The following is an 18,851-nucleotide window of genomic DNA, read 5'->3' on the forward strand; positions in this document are numbered from 1 at the left end:
CAGGAGCCAGGGGGAGGTCTGGTGTCTACCCCCTGAATGGAGTTTCCAAAAGTTGTACATTTTACAAACAAATGTGGTGCATCTTATAAGGCTTAATGTTTTTAGGAAACGACTTTGATATGACAATTGTGAAGGCTATGATGAAAAGACAAAACAGAAAACCGTGTAAAAGTAGGAGCCTGACATTACAAAGAATGACACCTTTGTGTGTTGCTCCCCCAACAGCCAGCACCAGGCCTTGCTTTCCAGCTAGCGCTACTGCAGGTTTATACTCTCTGAAGTTAGACGCTGGTTATTCCCCAGAGCAAAGCAAGGGATATAAACAAAAAAGAAAAAAGAAAAGAAAAAGGAAGAAAAGAAAAGCACCCATCCACCTGAGTTAGAATCTTAGCTGCCATTCTCTAACTTGACTCGGTTACTTGGCTGACTCTGTTTCCTCACCTGCAGGATGGAGTTTTTTAAAACACCTACCTCCCAGAGCACTATAAAAATTTAATAAAATAAAGTTTGTGTCTCAGCTTGGGTTCCCAGAAGAGACCTGAAACTAGGACTTGAGTGCAAGTAGTTTATTTGGAAGGTTAAGGGAACACTCAAAGAGGAGTGGGAGCTCAGATAAAGGAAAGGAAGGAGCTCTTCAAAGGAGCATTAGCCGAGCCTGGGCAACATAGTGTAAACTTGTCTCTACGAAAAAAGATAATAAAAAAATTAGCTGGGTGTTGTGGTACATGCCTGTAGTCCCAGCTTCTCGGGAGGCCAAGGTGGGAGGCTGACTGTAGCCCGTAAGATAGAGGCTGCAGTGAGCTGTGATCGTGCCACTGCACTCCAGCCTGGGCAACAGAGCAAGCCCCAGTCTCAAAAAATTACACAAAAAAACTATTAGCAAGCCACCTTTCCCTGTGTGTTACTGGAGCTTAGAATATCACTAATAATTCTTTGAAAGAAGGAAAAAAGTCAGAAAATATATATGCATATATACAAATACACATGTATATTTGTTCATGCAAAAAATATATTTAAACACAAAAATGTGTTAGAGAGGTTGCCTCTGAGGAAGAAAATTGGAGGACAGGGAAACATGAGTAAGAGGCATACTTAAATTTGCTCATATCACCTCCCGTACATCAAATTTTCCGTGCTTATGTATACTTTTAAATTAAGAAAATTGACAAAGTTTGCTAATACTGATTTTTCCCTAGCCCACTCCCTTTTCTTCATTAATCTTCAGGTTCATTACCTGACAAACTCAGTGTTATAGAATAACTTCTAAAAGTTTTAAATGTGAAGCTGGGCTGAGTGGCTTGCATCCCGTAATCCCAGTCACTCGGAAGGCTGAGGCAGACTTGCTTGAAGCTAGGAGTTTGAGACCAACCTGGGCAACATAGTAAGACCCGTCTCTATTTGAAGAAAAAAAAAGGAAAGGAAGAAAGAAAGAGAGAGAGAGAAAGAAAGAAAGAAAAAAAGAAAGAAAGAAAGAAAAAAGAAAGAGAAAGGAAGGAAGGAAGAAAGAAAGAAAAAAGAAAGAAAGAAAGAGAAAAGAAGGAAGAAAGGAAGAAAGAAAGAAGGAAAGAAAGGAAGAAAGAAAGAAAAAAGAAAGAGAAAAGAAGGAAGGAAGAAAGAAGGAAAGAAAGAAAGAAGGAAAGAGAGAGGAGAGAGAGAGGGAGGGAGGGAGGAAGGAAGGAAGGAAGGAAAGTTCTATATGGGAAACAACCCAAATGTCCATCAATGGATGTATGAATAAACAAGTCATGATCTATATGAGGGAATATTATTCGGCCATAAAAAGAAATGGAGTACTGACACACAGTACAATGTGGATGAACCTCAAAAATATGCTAAGTAGAAGACATCAGACACAAAATTCACATATCTTATGATTCCATTTATAAAAAATATCCAGAAGAGGTATCCACGGAGATCAAAAGCAGATTTGTGGTTCCTAGGGACAGCGGTTAGGGGAGAATGAGGAATAACTGCTTAATAGATATAAAGTTTCATTTGGGGATGATGAAAATGTTTTAGACTTACAGGTGGTGGTTGCAAAATACTGTGAATGTACTAAATGCCAGTAAATTGTTCACTTTAAATGGTTAATTTTATGTTACGTTAATTTCACCTCAATGAAAAAAATTAAAAAGTCTTATAATCATAAAAGGAATAAATCGATGCCCACTTTAGGTTTAAAGAACAGAGGTTTAAAAAGGAAGAAAAGAGACAGGAAAGAAGGAAGAAAGGGAAGAAGGGAGGGAGACACAAAGAAAAGGAGAAAGGACCACTCCTATATCCACCATTCAGGGAAATTCATCATTAATATTTTGAGTTAATATTTTGGTATATTGGTATTACCTTGCAGTCTGATAATAATAGTCAAATATATTCCAGTCGCACAATGCTTGGTATTACATAACCTTCCAGTCCTTTTTTCTCTACACAAATAAACTTTTTTTAAAGAAAATAAAACATGATATTATGTTGTCTATATGTTTACATCTCCTGCTTTGTTCATTTAATATAGCACAGGTTTTCACATCATTAGTCTTCCACATGATGTTTAATGCTGTATTGTACTCCAGAGCATAACATACTGTAATCTATTCAACTAATCCTTTAAGGTTAGATGTTTAGGCATGCAGAGTTATTGTTGAGAGATGAAAACATAAAGACTATAGTTATGAGACTGGTTTTTGTGTGTGACTTGAGGTACTAGTTTTTTCCCTGATAGTGTCACCTCATTCATGTAAAGTCAGCACAGCTCTCTCTACTTTCTCACAACTGAGGCACCCCCCACTTAGCCAAAATCATATGTAGAGTGTTTTATTTATAAAGAAGCCTTTCGTTAATACTGGGAAACTGAAAAAAACCCAGTACATTAAAAATATTTCACAAATCATTCACTCATGATTATGACACTAATTGGAAACTGTGGAATTATCTTTTAAATGTCAAGATACAAGGAGGTGCTCATTTTATTTTATAGAAAGTATCACAGGGTTTGAGCAAACTTGCCCAGGAACCAGAACATTTGCAGAGCAGAAATGCAGAGAGAAAATGGAGCATGTTTATCAAATAATGTAAATAAAGTTATCAGTGGTTTGATAGCTTCTGAAAACAACAGACTCTTGCATTTAACAAAGTCATTTCAACCATCTGTTCAAAAACCACGATTCCATACAAGGTCAGGCTTCTAAAGGTACAAAGCTGAAAGGAATTTTACAGGCTTAAATTCTCAGTTTCCCACAATGTCTGTACCCTAGGGGCTTGGAGGGATGCTGCTGTCTACTGCACCGTCTCAGAAAGTGGGACTTGAGCAGCTCAGACCCTGCCCTGTGGTTTGAAGACTTGAAGGCTCTGAGAAGTGCTTCCATAGCAGAGTAGTGACCTTTGGAGCTAACTGGCTAAATACGTGATTAAAATCATTATGAAAATAATACTTATTTTTAGAAAACTTGATGTTACAATCAACATTGTTATGTATATTAAATTTGACCCAACTGTTTGAAAATCTTTTGATATATGTCTTATACCTTAAACATAATGTTAATATATGCTATTCATTCATGCAATAAATATTTATTTGGTGCTTGTTGCCAGACACCCTTCCCAAGAAAAGAGCAGAAAAAGCCCTTCTGTCATGAATCTTACATTCTCATGTTAGGGGCTGTCCATAAAATAAATAAGCCAACAAATTAATAAAATAATTGCAATGACTATCAATAAGTGCTATGAAGAAAATAAACATGGGCTGAGTTGAGAAAAATGAAGCGAGATGTTCTTTAGGTAGGCAGCCAGGGAGGAACTCTTAAAGGAGATGAAGTTTAACCTGAGATGTATCTCCATGAAGAGAGAGATCTAAGCTTGGGAGCGTGGGAGGAGGGACATTCCAAGTAGAGGGAACAGCCTCCCAGGCCTCTGACGATAGATCAGACCTGGCATATCTGAAGAACTGAAAGAAGACAAGCATGGCAGAGTGTGGTGATGGAGGAGTGGGACAAGATGAGGCTGAAGAGATGGTTAGGACCCTGTTAAACAAGGCCTTGTAGGCTGAATAGGAACCCGGTTTTTTTTCAGAATGCTAAGTCCATCATCACGTTTGTAACGATGCTTTCCTAAAGGTCCTACTCAAGAAGTTAAACAAACTCAAAGTCAATGAATTGTTCTATTTTAAGAATAAAGACGTAAGAGTTCTTTTAATGAGAACTCAGGAGACTTACAGCATCATGCAGCTAAATTCAACCAGTCAAAGTGGGTTGGGGCTAGGGTGATCATATATCCCAGTTTGCTCAGAAGAGTCCCAGTTCACACCTGTGTTTCCAGCATCCTCTTGGTGTGTACCATTTGTCCCAAATACTTCACTTTTTAATGGAGTGTGCTTGTTAGTAGTTGCATTAAAACAAGCCAGAATGGATTGGGCAGACAGCTACTTTATACTTCCAGCTTCTCTCCTTTCATGGTGTTATGGAATAGTGTGTGAGATGTATATATAATGTTGACTTTTCACTTTAACATATGGTAAAATCTGACAGACGCTAACAATAACCCATTTCTCTTTTTTCAGCTCTTTCCAGCAGCAATGTAGCTAATATTTTCTTTTCAGGAGAACCATACAGGACTGTTGCTGATAAAATGAAGTTGGCAGTCATTCCTTGGAGATATCGCAGGTTCAGTTCCAGACCACCACAATAAATTGAATATTGTGATAAGCAAGTCACATAAATTTTCTGGCTTCCTAGTGTATGTAAAAGTTATGTTACATGCCAGGCATGGTGGCATGCACCAGCTACTTGGGAGGCTAAATTGGGGGTATCACTTGAGCCCAGGAGTTTGAGACCAGCCTTGGCAACATAGTGAGACCCTGTCTCTACAAAAAATTTAAAAAATTATTTGCCAGGCATGGTGATGCATTCCGGTAGTCTCAGCTATAGGCTGAGATGGGAGGATTTCTGGGCCCAGGAGGTCAAGGCTACAGTGAGCCATGATCATGCCACTGCACTCCAGCCTGGATGACATAATGAGACCCTGTCTCCAATAATAAAATACCAGTCATCTGAGCCTTCATCGAGTCATAATCCTTTTGCTGGGGGAGGGTCTTCCTACCTGTAAGAAGCAAATCCTCATCTGTTCAAGTTTGATCATGAGATTGAGCCACTTAGTCTCATCTTCAGGCTCTACTTCTAGTTCTAGTTTTCTTGCTATTTCCACCACCTCTGCAGTTACTTCCTGCCTGAAGTCTTGAACCCCTTAAATTCATCCACGAAGGTTGGAATTAACTTCTTCCAAACTCCTGTTAATGTTGATATTTCTACATCCTCCCATGGATCACAAATTTTCTTGATGACATCTAGAATAATGAATTTTTCCCAGAAGGTTTTCAATTTACTTTGCCCAGATCCATCAGGGGAATCACTATATATGACAGTTTATGAAATGTGTTTTTGTATAATAAGACTTGAAAGCCAAAAAATTATTACTTGATCCATATGCTGCAGAATAAATGCTAGACTTTCAGAGGGCAAATGAGAATTGGCTTCATCTTAAAGTCACCAGTTGCATTAGCCCCTAACAAGGGAGTCAGCCTGTCCTTTGAAGCTTTAAAGCCAGGCATAGACTTCTCTTCCTCTCTAGCTACAAAAGCCTTAGAAGATATCTTCTTCCAATGGAAGAAGATCTGTTTTACTTACATTGAAAATCTGTTGTTCATTGTAGCCACCATCATCAATGATCATAGCTAGATCTTCTGGCTAACTGACTGCAGCTTCTACATCAGCACTTGCTGCTTCACCCTGTACTTTTATGTTATGGAGATACAACTTCTTTCCTTAAACCTCATGAATCAACCTCTGCTAGCTTCAAACTTTTCTCATGGAGCTTCATCACGTCTTTCTGCTTTCATAGAATTGAAGAGAGCTGGGGCCTTTCTCTTGATTAAGCTTCGGCTTAAGGGAATGTTGTGGCTGGTTTGATCTTCTATCCATACCACTCCAACTTTCTCCATATCAACGAGAAGGGTGTTTCACTTTCTTATCATTCATGTGTTCCCTGGAAGTAATTTTCTTCAAGAACTTTTCCTTTGCGTTCACAATGTGGCTAAGTTTTTGGCTCAAGAGGCCTAGCTTCTGGCCTGTCTTGGCTTTCCATATGCCTTCGTCACTAAGCTTAATAATTTCTAGCTTTTGCTTTAAAGTGCGATGTGAGACTCTTCCTTTCACCTGAACACTTAGAAACCATTGTAGGGTTATTAATTGGCCCAATTTCAATATTCTTGTGTCCCAGAAAATAGGGTGGCCCAAGGAGAGGGAGAGAGATGGGGAAAGGCTTGTTGGTGGAGCTGTCAGAACACACATAGCATTTATTGATTAAGTTCAATGTCTTATATGGGCATGGTTTGTGGCACCTCAAAACAATTATAATAGTAACATCAAAGATCACTGACCATAGATCACCATGACAGATATAATAATAAGGAAAAAGTTTGAAATACTAATAATAAGGAAAAAGTTAGAATTACTAAAACGTGGCACAGAGACATGATGTGAGCACATGCTGTTGGAAAAATGGCACCAATAGACCAATGCAGGGTTGCCACAAACCTTCAATTTGTAAAAACCATAACACACAGCTCAATAAAGTAAAGCACAACAAAACAAGGTATGCCTGTACTCAGTCATGAGCAGTTAGGGACAGATAACTCCTGGTCTCAGGTAGTGGTAAAAGAGATATTCTATGCTGCTGGCCCTGCCAGACAGTCTATCAGCTTGTGCCACTCTCTATAAATGCACAAAGTCAGCAAGTCACTAAGTTGGTGGAAAACGTGGGAAATTATGGGTTAGGTACATATAAAGTATGTACAGAAGACAGAAGACAAGAAGTCCTGCCATAGAACTTACTGTGTAGTCTGAATGCTGCAATTGTTTTGCCATTTATTGAATTGAATGGCATAAATCCAAATAAATCCATGACTATTTTGTTGTTCTGCAATGCTTTTTTATTTTACAATAAACCCTTTCAATAGCAGTGACCTCAAGGAAATGAAAACATGAGTTTAGTACAAAATCAAGTACAGAATTGCCATTTCTCAAGAAAGTAAATGATTAAAGTGAAACTTGCACAAAATGTAGACATTTGCCATCCACCGTGGGACCCATTGTGATATCACTGACCACTTGAAAACAAGGAAATACAAATCTGCTGAAAAATCATCAGGGTCTACTTCGAAAGTTAATGGTAAATTTAAGAAGACGCATGTTGAATGTGACAACAGTTGAGCAGGTGCAGCTTCAGAAGGTGCATTTATACAACCTCTTTTAAAGCATAACTTTTCATTTAGGTTAAATGATCGTTTATCTATTTTAATTTTGTTCTTTTAAAATCCCGTTTCCTCATGTACATACACTTGTAAAGTGTTAGTGAAAAATGATAGCGGATAATTAGCATAAGAAGAACTTGCCAAAATGGCCTCAATTTTGTATCAATGTCATCTGGTGATTCAAGTAAAAATCTAGTTAACTCTGATGACAGTTGAAGGCTCTCATCCAATTCAGGGAATCAAAGTAAAACTTTTAGGATTTTCTTTTGTTGAAAGTGAAACATCTGAGATTATTGCGAATGCTATTGTAAATTCTGTTACAGAGTACAGCATTGAGGATTAAATGATTTGTTTTTGCATCCATAATATGCTTACAAATTCTGGCGATGTACACCATTGTGGAAAAAATAATGCTCTTACTAAATTAAACTTGTAGAGCAAAAATGTACTTGGAATTGATTGCCATGCACATGACTCATAATTGGGTTAAACAAGCTATGATATTCTACCAATTGACATAGAAGCTGTATTGCCAAAACTCACAAACATTTTTACATATACGCAGATAAAATAACTGAACTACATAGTTTTCATGGTGATACTGATATTGAAGAAAGAAAATACTTGGGTATAGCAACATGTGAACCCACTCTTTGCTGTTCATCATTAATTAGATTTTAGAAACATTTGAGTCCTTGAAAAACAAATTTGTAACACAACATAAGTATCTTATATTGGCATTGACATTTTTTGGTAAATGTGTCCTTTAAATTTTGGTTGCATTTCATTCAAAATCAGCTGGAAATCTTCAATCAAGGTATCAAATGAGTAGAGCACCCCAAAACTTCAGCTTTTAAATTTTGGCAAACTGCAATTATCGAAGGCAAAGCTTATGAACAAGAAGATATTAAAATTAAGCAATACAAAAGCATGGGAGGAACTGAACAAAACAATAAATGACAGTTTAAATGGTTTATAAGATTTAGTTTTAAAGCTTCATGATTGTGCTCTGGGCTATTTTAAGTTATATAAAAAATGTTTGGTAGACCTCTCATTTTTAGTTGCATAAGTTTCTATTCTGTACTAGAATAAAATGAAATGGAAAGGACCTGTATTTTTGCAGTATCTATATTTGTTCAAACACTCAAATAATCATATTATAGAGAACTTTTAAATAATTTTTCCCTTTTTAAAAATGTTTGTCAAAGGTACCAAGCTGATAGTCAAAAGAGGCAAAAATGACAGTATTTATAAAAATATTTGGACTGAAATATTTATATATATTTCAATACAAAAAATAAAATTAGGGTTAAAACTCTTCTGTTTATAATTTTCTCTGTACTTAGCAAGTATTATGTAGACCTTACATTTAATTATTATTACTATTATTATTATTATTATTATTGAGATGGAGTTTCACTCTGTCACCCAGGCTGGAGTGCAATGGCACCATCTCGGCTCACTGCAACCTCTGTCTCCCAAGTTCAAGCAATTCTGCCTCAGCCTCCTGAGTAGCTGGGATTACAGGCACCCCCTACCATACCCAGCTAATTTTTTGTATTTTTAGTAGAGACGGGGTTTCATCATGTTGGCCAGGCTGGTCTTGAACTCCTGACCTCAAGGATCCTCCTGCCTTAGCCTTCCAAAGTGCTGGGATTACAGGCATGAACCACTGCTCCCAGCTGTAAATTTTAAAAATTTGATATATAACTACAGAAAAAAGGTGCTAATGGTTTCAAATTAATTAATTATAAGATACAAATTTGAAGGCTATTTCAGATAATTTTATGAAAAATTAAAAATAAAAAGAACTTATTGAAAAAGAATATATACAGTCTTCAGAAAAAACATACACTGTGATATGGTATTAGAGACAAGGTATATCTAGGAAATACAGTGAAGTATGTTACTGCATACCAAGAATAATTATTCTTATGTGATTAATTTTCAAAGGATCGATATGAGTAAGTCTTTTTACATTTTGCCTTAGTAAATATGAATATGTTATTTTTATTTTTGGAAGCAATTTTATTTATAAAAATAGTTTTTGAATAGAACTATTATATCTTATAAGTTCAATAATAATGAAACTAATTTTTCATTCAACAAATATTTTTAAAACTATATAGTTTTAATTATTTTTCACAATCCCTTTTATTTTTAGAAGTGTCCTGGTCTGTATGATAAATTATATAGTCACCTTTGTTAGGGCAGTGTCACCTTGAAGAAGCGAATCTAAGGCACAGGGCCTGAAATTTCTGGGTGCCCAAGCCAGCTGGGAGCCCCTCTGAAGAAGTTAAGCCTCAGAAGTACAAATGCTCAGCTCCTACCTGTACTGAGGTTGTCTGCATTTAAAACATTTGCTGACTAAAGATTTCCTTGGTGCACAGCTCTATCATGAGAAGAGGTGGATAAATACTCATCTCATGCTCCCTCAGACTTGATTCTCAATCTACAGTTTGTGTAGGTCACACAACCCTGAGCGCCTCATCAATTGAAGAGCAGGTGTTGGACAGGTCTGCCCTTCCTGTGTGGGTGCTTCTGTGGAAGGCAAGGAGAATGGGAGGAAGTAGGCCAATGAAAAACAGGCAAGAGTCCCTTGAAAACCCTGCCTTGAAAACTTGGGCCAAAAAGAAAGAGCATGAGGGCCAAATAGAAGGGAAAAAAAAACCATGGGAACTTGATCTTTGCTGATGGTTTTTGAGTTTAGTTTGAAAGTGATTGAGGAGGGGAAGGGGAAATTCACAGTTTTGCTCAGAAGCCATTTGACTTCAAAGGTCTTGCTACACAAATCACATATGACTCCAATGCTTTCTCAACTACAAAAAGTCAGAAGGTCTTTCACTGAATGGAATGGTATGTCCTGCTCCACCCTGAAATAGCAGAGTTCAAGGGCTCTTAGCACTTTCCATTTCTCATGGTTTCTGGCTCTCAGAAGTGGAAACTCTGGGATAAGATGGGTTATAATTCCTATTAAGGAAAAAAAAACATTTTAGCTAAAGCTAAATCCACAAGAAAATTATATAAATCACATATAATTCCTATTTTAAAGGAAAGGAAAACTAAAATACAGTCTTCACCATGTCATTTCCATAAAATTATTCCAATTTCCCTTAAAAACAACTTCTGAGATACACTTTTTCTAGGCTTTTCATAATATAAACCAATCAACCTCTGCATCTTATGTTTCCTTTACTCTTAGACATGATCTTTCTCTCTTGTCACCTGGCCCTCTCACTGTTTCTCAAATACTCATGCCCTTCTCTCTGTCCCCAACTAGAAACCCCTCCAACAACTTTGCTTCTAGAATCTAAACACTACCCTTTCTTCAAGTATCAACTCCAATCTCTCTTCTGCCATGGAGTCTTCTCAGTCCACTCCAGTTCACCACGATTTTTCATTTTGGAGAATTTACAGCACTTTTTAACAAGTCACTTCACCTTTGGGCATTCTCATTTCCTTATCTGCAAATGGTGACATCATCCACTTCATGCAGTTTGGGAGGACTGAATGAATGACACAAATAGCCCTGTGGTTGGCCATAGTAATTATCAATCACTGTTTGCCATTGCGTTTGGGGATAGAGTGATATTATAATATGGAGGGACAGAGTGAAATTATGGAGAAAATCCTTTGGGTCTGCCAGCATTGGGTTCCAACATCACTTAACCCCCTGAGTTTATAAAATGCAAATAATAATTTTTATCACATAGAGTATGGTGAAGACCAAAGAAGAGAATGTAGATAAAGGTCTTCCTGGCCTTAGCACACTCAGTGTTGTCCCCCTGCCCATTTCCTTAAAGGCAATTGATTCATTTACTCATTTCCTGAACATTTATTGAGAGCTTAGGATACAACTGTGAACAAGACATAAACAGTTTCCCCTTCCATGACATAGCAATGGCAGTGTCCTGATGGGGACTCTCAGGAAGTATATAGGAAAGGCACGTGATCTAAACTTGGGAGGTCAGGAAATCTGGGAGCTGAAGAAGGGTAGGGATTGGTGTGACTGGAAACGGGGGCGATTGTGGTTGTGCATTCTAGGAGAGTCACACTGCACATGCAGAGGCCTACATGTGGAGGGTCCGGACATATGTAAGTTCAACATAGCTGGAACACAATGTGGACAAGATGAGGCAGGAGAGGTCATGTACCCATAGATATGTGTGGTCTTTTAGTGTTTGCAAACATGGTCCACTCTAATCCTCAAAACAACCCAAAGAGGGGGTCAAGGCAGGAATAGTCATCTTCATTTTAAAGATGAGCAAACAAAAGTTCACAAGGATTGAATGACTAGTCCAAGCTCAAAAGCTAATTAAAGGTGAAGTCTTGTGACAGTTCCTAGGCTGCTATCTGGATCATTATTAAACTCTTATTTTCTTGATTTCAAGCTAGGTGACAGGAGTATTAAGACCAATCATGTTTTAAAATTTTATTTTTGCATCCCTCACAGTGCAAGTCACCTAGTAGGTGTTCAGTAAATGTGTGCTGATGTTTGCATGAATTGACTCACTTTCTATAACTTAATGAGAAGAGACACAACAAATCATAACCAGGTACAGCAGATATACAGATTCTAAAATACATGGGTTAAAATTAAGTCCTGTTGGAAACCGTTACAGTGTCTCTGCATTGTAGCTAAATAATAGGTACATAAATGATGCTACATCCATACGCTATTATGCAGCCATGACACTGATGTGGATAGAGCTTTATGATATATTAAAGGGGGGAGAGCAAAGTACAAAATAGTGTATTTTAGTATTTTATGGGTTCATATGTATACCAAATTGGGTGGCAGAAGAAGAATAGACTATATTACTTGTTTATATATAGACCATCTCTTAAAGAAAACTCAACAACTGGTAATAGATATTGCCCTGAGGAGGGGAACTGCATGGCGGAGGGATACTGGTAAGAGAGAATTTTATTGTATACCTTTTTGAGCCATTTTATTGTATTATCCATTTTTAAATTATAACAAATTTTAAATATTTTCTATTGGCAGCTCTGATTTCACTGTTTTCTTGTTTTTTTTTTTTCTTAGAGATTTTGATTTCCTATGAGATCTAAACAGAAACTAGTCTTGTAGGCTAGGTTTTGTTTTGTTTTGTTTTTTGCATAGGGTTTAATTTCAAAGGCGGTGGTTTGCTGGTAAATGTTTAACACCTGGCTCCGTAAGTAGTTTCGCTTTGAATATTGGTTGGTATTTTTGTTTATGTTAATGAATAAGATGAAAGTAAAATGAGGAAGATATCTATCAGAACCTCATTCATCAATGATGTGAGCAATTTCTTTGCTAAATTGTGTAATGGTTTTCAAATACCAAAAAAAATTTATTGGTTTTTGTGCTAGTCACAATGTAATAGAGATTTTAAATTATTACCATTTTCTCTATCATGTTCTTAAGTCTAGTCAATCAACAAAATAATAAATTCCACCTTGAGTTTTGTCTTTTGCCAATTTCCATCATGTAAATAGTCCCACCAAGGCTGATTTTGAGCTACCAATGTTACATCACTGGAAGTAGAATTAAGAAGAAACAAAATAACTTTAAAAGCCTAGGTGTTAGTAAAATGTAGTAAAATAATTAGTAAGCAATGAATTTTTACAATGTTTTCAACTTTGTTTTTAATATCATATATTTAATTGAAAGTGTATATTATTTAATTTGTATAACAACCGTGTTTAGCTTTTAAAAACCTAACAAGCAGCTCTTATGAGCCTGCACAAGTAAGCTCCAACACACTCCTGCTCCTGTGGGAGAGAAGGCCACCTTTGGCTGATAGAACATTCCAGAATATTTTCCTACGGTAGGAGCATATTAGGAATGAATTTAAATAAAAGGGTACCAGCATTTAGCTGACAAAGAAGAACCTTCTGACTTTACCCTGAATAAAGAGAAATACTTAATAATTCATGTTGATCACAAATCAAATCTCAACACCAAGCAGTTGAAAGAGCAAGAGGGCAAGAAAGAAAGAAAGACAAGAGAGAGAGAGAGATGCCTTAGTATTCCTTTCAGCTCAAACATTGTAATAATTTAAGGCTTTATATTCCAAGTACTGTCTTTGTACCTCAGACAAGTTACTTGGCCTCTGAGAGTCTTTTCATTTCTTCATCTGTAAAATGGGGAGATATGATTGTGAGAAAAAAAATGATATTGGTGGTTCATCAGAAACAAACCAATGACCATCAGCAGGTGAATGAATAAACAAATTGTGATTAACCATATGATGGACTACTATCCAGCAACAAAGACGAATGGACTCTGGATACACACCACATGGATAAATATCACACTCCTTTAACTTGAGTGAGTTAAAGAAGCCAGACCCAGGCCAGGCGTGGTGGCTCACACCTGTAATCCCGGCACTTTGGGAGGCCAAGGTGGGTGGATCACGAGGTCAGGAGTTTAAGACCAGCCTTACCAACATGGTGAAACCCCGTCTCTACTAAAAATACAAAAATTAGCTGGGCATGGTGGTGTGTGCCTGTAATCCCAGCTACTTGGGAGGCTGAGGCAGGAGAATGCTTGAACCCGGGAGGTGGAGGTTGCAGTGTGCCAAGATCACGCCACTGCACTCCAGCCTGGGCGACAGGGCAAGACTCCATCCCAAAAAAAAAAAAAAAAAGAAGAAAAGAAGAAGAAGAAGAAGAAGAAGAGGAAGAGGAAGAGGAAGAGGCCAAAAAACTGTACATACTGTGTGAATCATTTCTATAAAATTCTAGAAAATGCAAACAAATGTATGGTAACAGAAAGCAAATATATAGTTGCCTGTGGGGAGGAATGGGAAAGAAGGATGACAAAGGAATACAAGGAGACTTTGGGAGGTAATGAAATGTTTGTTATTTTGATTGTGTTGTTGGTTCCATGTATCAAAATTTATCAAATTGTATTCTTTAAATAGTGCAGGTTATTGTATGTCAGTTATACTTCAATAAGCTATAAAAGGTAGGAGAAACCAAAAAGCAGATTTTTACTCCATAATTTTGAGTTCCTAGTGAATCTTGTCATTTAAGAAGTCACTAAGAGTTATGAATTTGTTTTCTTTGGCAATCCTTTTTCACTATGAAGGGAATGTAAAGTTTTCAAATGGTTTGTGCTCTTATCATGTCCCATGAGACCAATTCACAGGCAAAGGATCATAAGCTATCATGTTTCAGACACTCAAAGACTTACATGAAGGTGTAGTGTGTGTTCATTGTTTCAATTCGTGACTACATGCTATGATCTCTTCTCTTTTCACAGAGATGTCCACCTTTATACAAGTTTAGCAGTTTTGCAAACTGTTATTTGCCAAAATACAGACCTAGTTTCTGGGAGAAGGTAAAAAAAATATATATGACTAGCTTAAATGACAAAACTGGCTGTAGTCAGTGTTTCTATTAAAGGTTCAGTAGAGATAGGTAGATAGATAGATGAGATAATTTTATGTTCTTGAAGTGATATATAAACATGGTACATATTTAAATACAAAACAGTATGTGGGAAAAACCTGAGTCATACACCCCTGCCATTTCTGGCCATTCCCTAATGGTGACCAATGTTAAGAGGTTTTTACTACCTTTCTAGATATACATGGAATTATGCATTCGTATATTCTTCTCCTTCCCCATTAAAAAACAAAACAAACAAACAAACAAACAAAAACCCCAGCAATCTCTGTTTTAACAAGCCTTCCATGTAATCCTGGTGCACACTGAAGTTTGAGAACCACTGACGTTTATAGACTGAATTATGTCCCCCACCAAATTCTGCGTTGAAGCCCTAACCCCCACTGTGACTGTAATTGGAGATACGGGTTATTACAGAGGTATTAAGGTTAAATGATGTCATAAGGTGGGGCCCTAATCCCATAGGACTAGTGTCCTTAAGAAGAAAGAAGAGGCCAGGTGAGGTGGCTCATGTCTGTAATTCCAGCACTTGGGACGCTGAGGTGGGAGAATGGCTTGAGGCCAGGAGTTTGAGGTCAACCTGGGCAACATAGAGAGACTCTTTCTACAAAAAATAAAAACTAAAATAAAAGAAGAAGAGGGGCAGGGCGTGGTGGCTCATGCCTGTAATCTCAGCACTTTGGGAGACCAAGCTGGGTGGATCACCTGAGGTCGGGAGTTCAAGACCAGCCTGACCAACATGGAGAAACCCTGTCTCTACTAAATACAAAATTAGCCAGACGTGGTGGTGCATGCTTGTAATCCCAGCTACTCGGGAGGCTGAGGCAGGAGAATCACTTGAACCTGGGGAGCGGAGGTTGCAGTGAGCCAAGATTGCACCACTGCACTCCAGCCTTGGCTGCAAAAAAAAAAGAGGAAGAGATACCAGAGATTTCTCTCTTTCCACATTAGGGAAAGCCATGTGAGGACACAGTGAGAAGGTGATGTCTACAAACCAGGAAGAAAGGCCTCAAGAGAAACCAACCCTCCCCTGGCACCTTGATCTTGCATTTCCAGCCTCCAGAACTGTGAGAAAATAAGTTCCTATTGTTTAAGCCACCCAATCTGCAGTATTCTGTTATGACAGCGCATGCAGACTAATACCCTGACCTTACATAATTGTATCCTTCTGGGTTGTATCAGTTGTGAAAGGTGGACATCTTTGTCCAAAATTCCCGAGGCAGAAATTACAAAGCCTGGTTCTGAGCTAGAAATGAGGATGAAGGATGGAAGACAAGGGACAAATGAAGGGAGAAAACTCAGATGACATTTCAATTGGTCATCCCAGCTCATGTATTATTCATTTACTACTTGAAACTATAAAACATATGAATTTATAATATATCAAACTTGTGAAACCTCACCACTCATAGATAACTACTTAACACATTGATATATCACTGAAGGCAATGGGACATTTTAAAATTTTATTTAATATTTTTATATGCAAAGATTCAATATTTTCTTTTCTCAACAGTGATCCTACCTTATATAATTTTGTATGTGTATTCTTTCACTAAAGTATATCTAAAGCATTTTCCCCACGATGGGGAGGAAGTTGGATCCACCAGTTGGTGGGGAGGAGAGGAGGTCACAAAGCTTTGGAGATGGGTCTTGAAGGTGACCCAGGGTCTGGGCTGGATCTGCAGTTGTCCAAAATAGTCAGGCAGCTCTGAGCAAGCTGTTCTGAATCTAGGGCCGTTACACACTTGGAAGTCGGCGAGGATTTGGCCTGATACCGGCACATCCATTCTCACTTTGCAGGATCCTTGTTGGTGAGCTGTAGAGTTCAGGGGCTGGGTCCAAATTCAGGAAGGAAGAGTGGCAGCAGCTAGGTAGGGGTACCAGTCCCAGGCCCTAAGAGTGCTTATTTATGAGTAAGGTGGTTGTGAGAAAAGAAATAAGGAGAAAGAAGGAGCAAAAGAGAGAGATGAAATATAGAGTGGCAGAGACAGAGAGACATAAACAAAGAAACTCCTGGATACCCCTTCCAGTCACATCCATCAACATCCACCCCGATTAAGGTTAAGCCTAGACTTAGTCTAGGCTGGATTAGGAAAGTAGTGGTAGGGATGGAGAGGATGCGGTGGATTCCAGAAATAATCTGTAGATAAAATTGGTCTAACATGGTGACTGGTGGGGAAGGAAAGGGAGAAGTACAAAGAAGTTTCCCAACCTTCTCTGCCAAGAATCATCTGGAAGGCTTGTAGACCTACAGAATTCCCAATGCCTTCCCTGGATATTCTAATTTAATAAGTCTGAGGCAGGGCCCAGGAATCTGTGTGTCATTCTTATTGTGGGAAGAATGACTTCCGGGCCTCTGGCTTAGGTAACTGGATAGCAGCAACATAATTAACTGACTTCAGTTTTAGAGATAATAAGTTTAAAATGCCTTTGGAGCATCAAAATCATGGTGACTAAATCTGTTGAGCATTTACCTTAAATGCACTATTTAATTTAATTTATGTACCATTCTTCTGAGGAAATTACAGTACTATGATGTACTCACTTTGCAAGCGAAGAAACTGAGCTCTAGAGACATTAAATTATTTTTCATTATTTAGATAGCTATTAAAGGGCAGACTTGGGTTTTAAACCTAGGCACATCTTATCCCAAAGTCTTTAGCCTTTTTAACTATGCTTTATTGGGTGTACTTTTAGGTAGTATTACCTGAGTCAAATTACAGATTAGGGCTGAAGATAATGTTTGAAAGCAAAAATTTGTTTCAGATTGCCCAAGGGAGCTTGCAGAGAGAGGAGAGTATTGGGCCAATGATGGAGCTTTGTTCCTGTTGGAAACGGAACGGGCAGAGGATGAAAGGCCTTGAGGTTCTTGGAGATTCAAGGAGAACCAGGAGACAAGTGTCTTATAAACTAAGCAATTCAATTCTGAATTGCCAGTAAGAGTGAATTTAAACTCATCAGAGAGTTCCAGTAAAATAAATTATCCATTGACTTTGGTGACGGAGTATAATTTTTTTTTTTTAGACAGAGTCTTGTTCTGTCACCCAGACTAGAGTGCAGTGGCATGATCTTGGCTCACTGCAACCTCCACTTTTTGGGCTCAAGGTATCCTCATGCCTTAGCCTTCCAAGTAGCTGGGGTTACAGGCGTGAGCCACCATCTCTGGCTAATTTTTGTATTTTTAGTAGAGGTGGGGTTGGCCATGTTGGCCAGGCTGGTCTTGAACTCCTGGCCTCATATGATTCACCCACCTCAGTCTCCCAAAGTGCTGGGATTACAGGCATGAGCCACCGTGCCAGGTCCAGGGTGTAATTTTTGATCTTCGCCAGGAAGGTGTGGGGAGAAGCCCAGTCTCTGAAGATTAAGGAGTGAAAAGATGAGGAAAGGGATTGTTAACTAAAAAGTTACTCAATGATACTTATTAAAGATGGTAGGGAAGACTTTATTCAGGACCATTGTGATAGACTTTATTCAGGCACCTCTACAATGGGGTCTTGCAGGAAGGGAGAGACATTGGTCTCAACTCCAAGTACAGCATGGGCAAGTGGGAATTTATAGCCAAGGAGCAAGGTGGGGGTCAGTGGACGGGAAATTACTAAGAAGAAACTTCAGGGGGATTCTGACTAAACGAACTTAAAAGGATTCTTGCTGAAGTCAGATCAGAGTGACCAGGCATCACCTGGGGGATGGTGGAGGATGAGGGACCCATCAGATATCAAGGGTGATCAGATATTGGGTGGTGCAGGGGAGTAGGGGGGCAGGGGCAGGCCTTGCTAAACTGACTTAGCAGGGCTCTTTGCTAAAACTGGGTTTTACATGGAAATACACAGATGGGCCTAGGAGAAGCTTCAGGAGCTTGATTAAGGTTTGGTTAAGCAAAGACTCTTCAGGAGATAGTGACTGAATACCAGCTTTCCAAGGGGCTCAGCTATAACAGAATAATCCCGGAAAGTTATATATTTGTTAACGGCACTCATCTCTAAGTAATATGATTATTACTTAATTTCCTGGCTTCTTTTTTTCTCCTTGAGGCTGAAGGATGCCTTGAGCCTTAGGAACCATTGTTTTGACTGAGAAGGGGCAGGGCTGGAGAAGGGGCAATTTGTGGAAAGCAAGGTTTCCCTTATGTAGCCTGTGGTGGATGTGAGCA

The sequence above is a fragment of the Homo sapiens genome, chromosome 3 (assembly GCF_000001405.40).
Source record: "Homo sapiens chromosome 3, GRCh38.p14 Primary Assembly".
Classification (NCBI taxonomy): domain Eukaryota; kingdom Metazoa; phylum Chordata; class Mammalia; order Primates; family Hominidae; genus Homo; species Homo sapiens.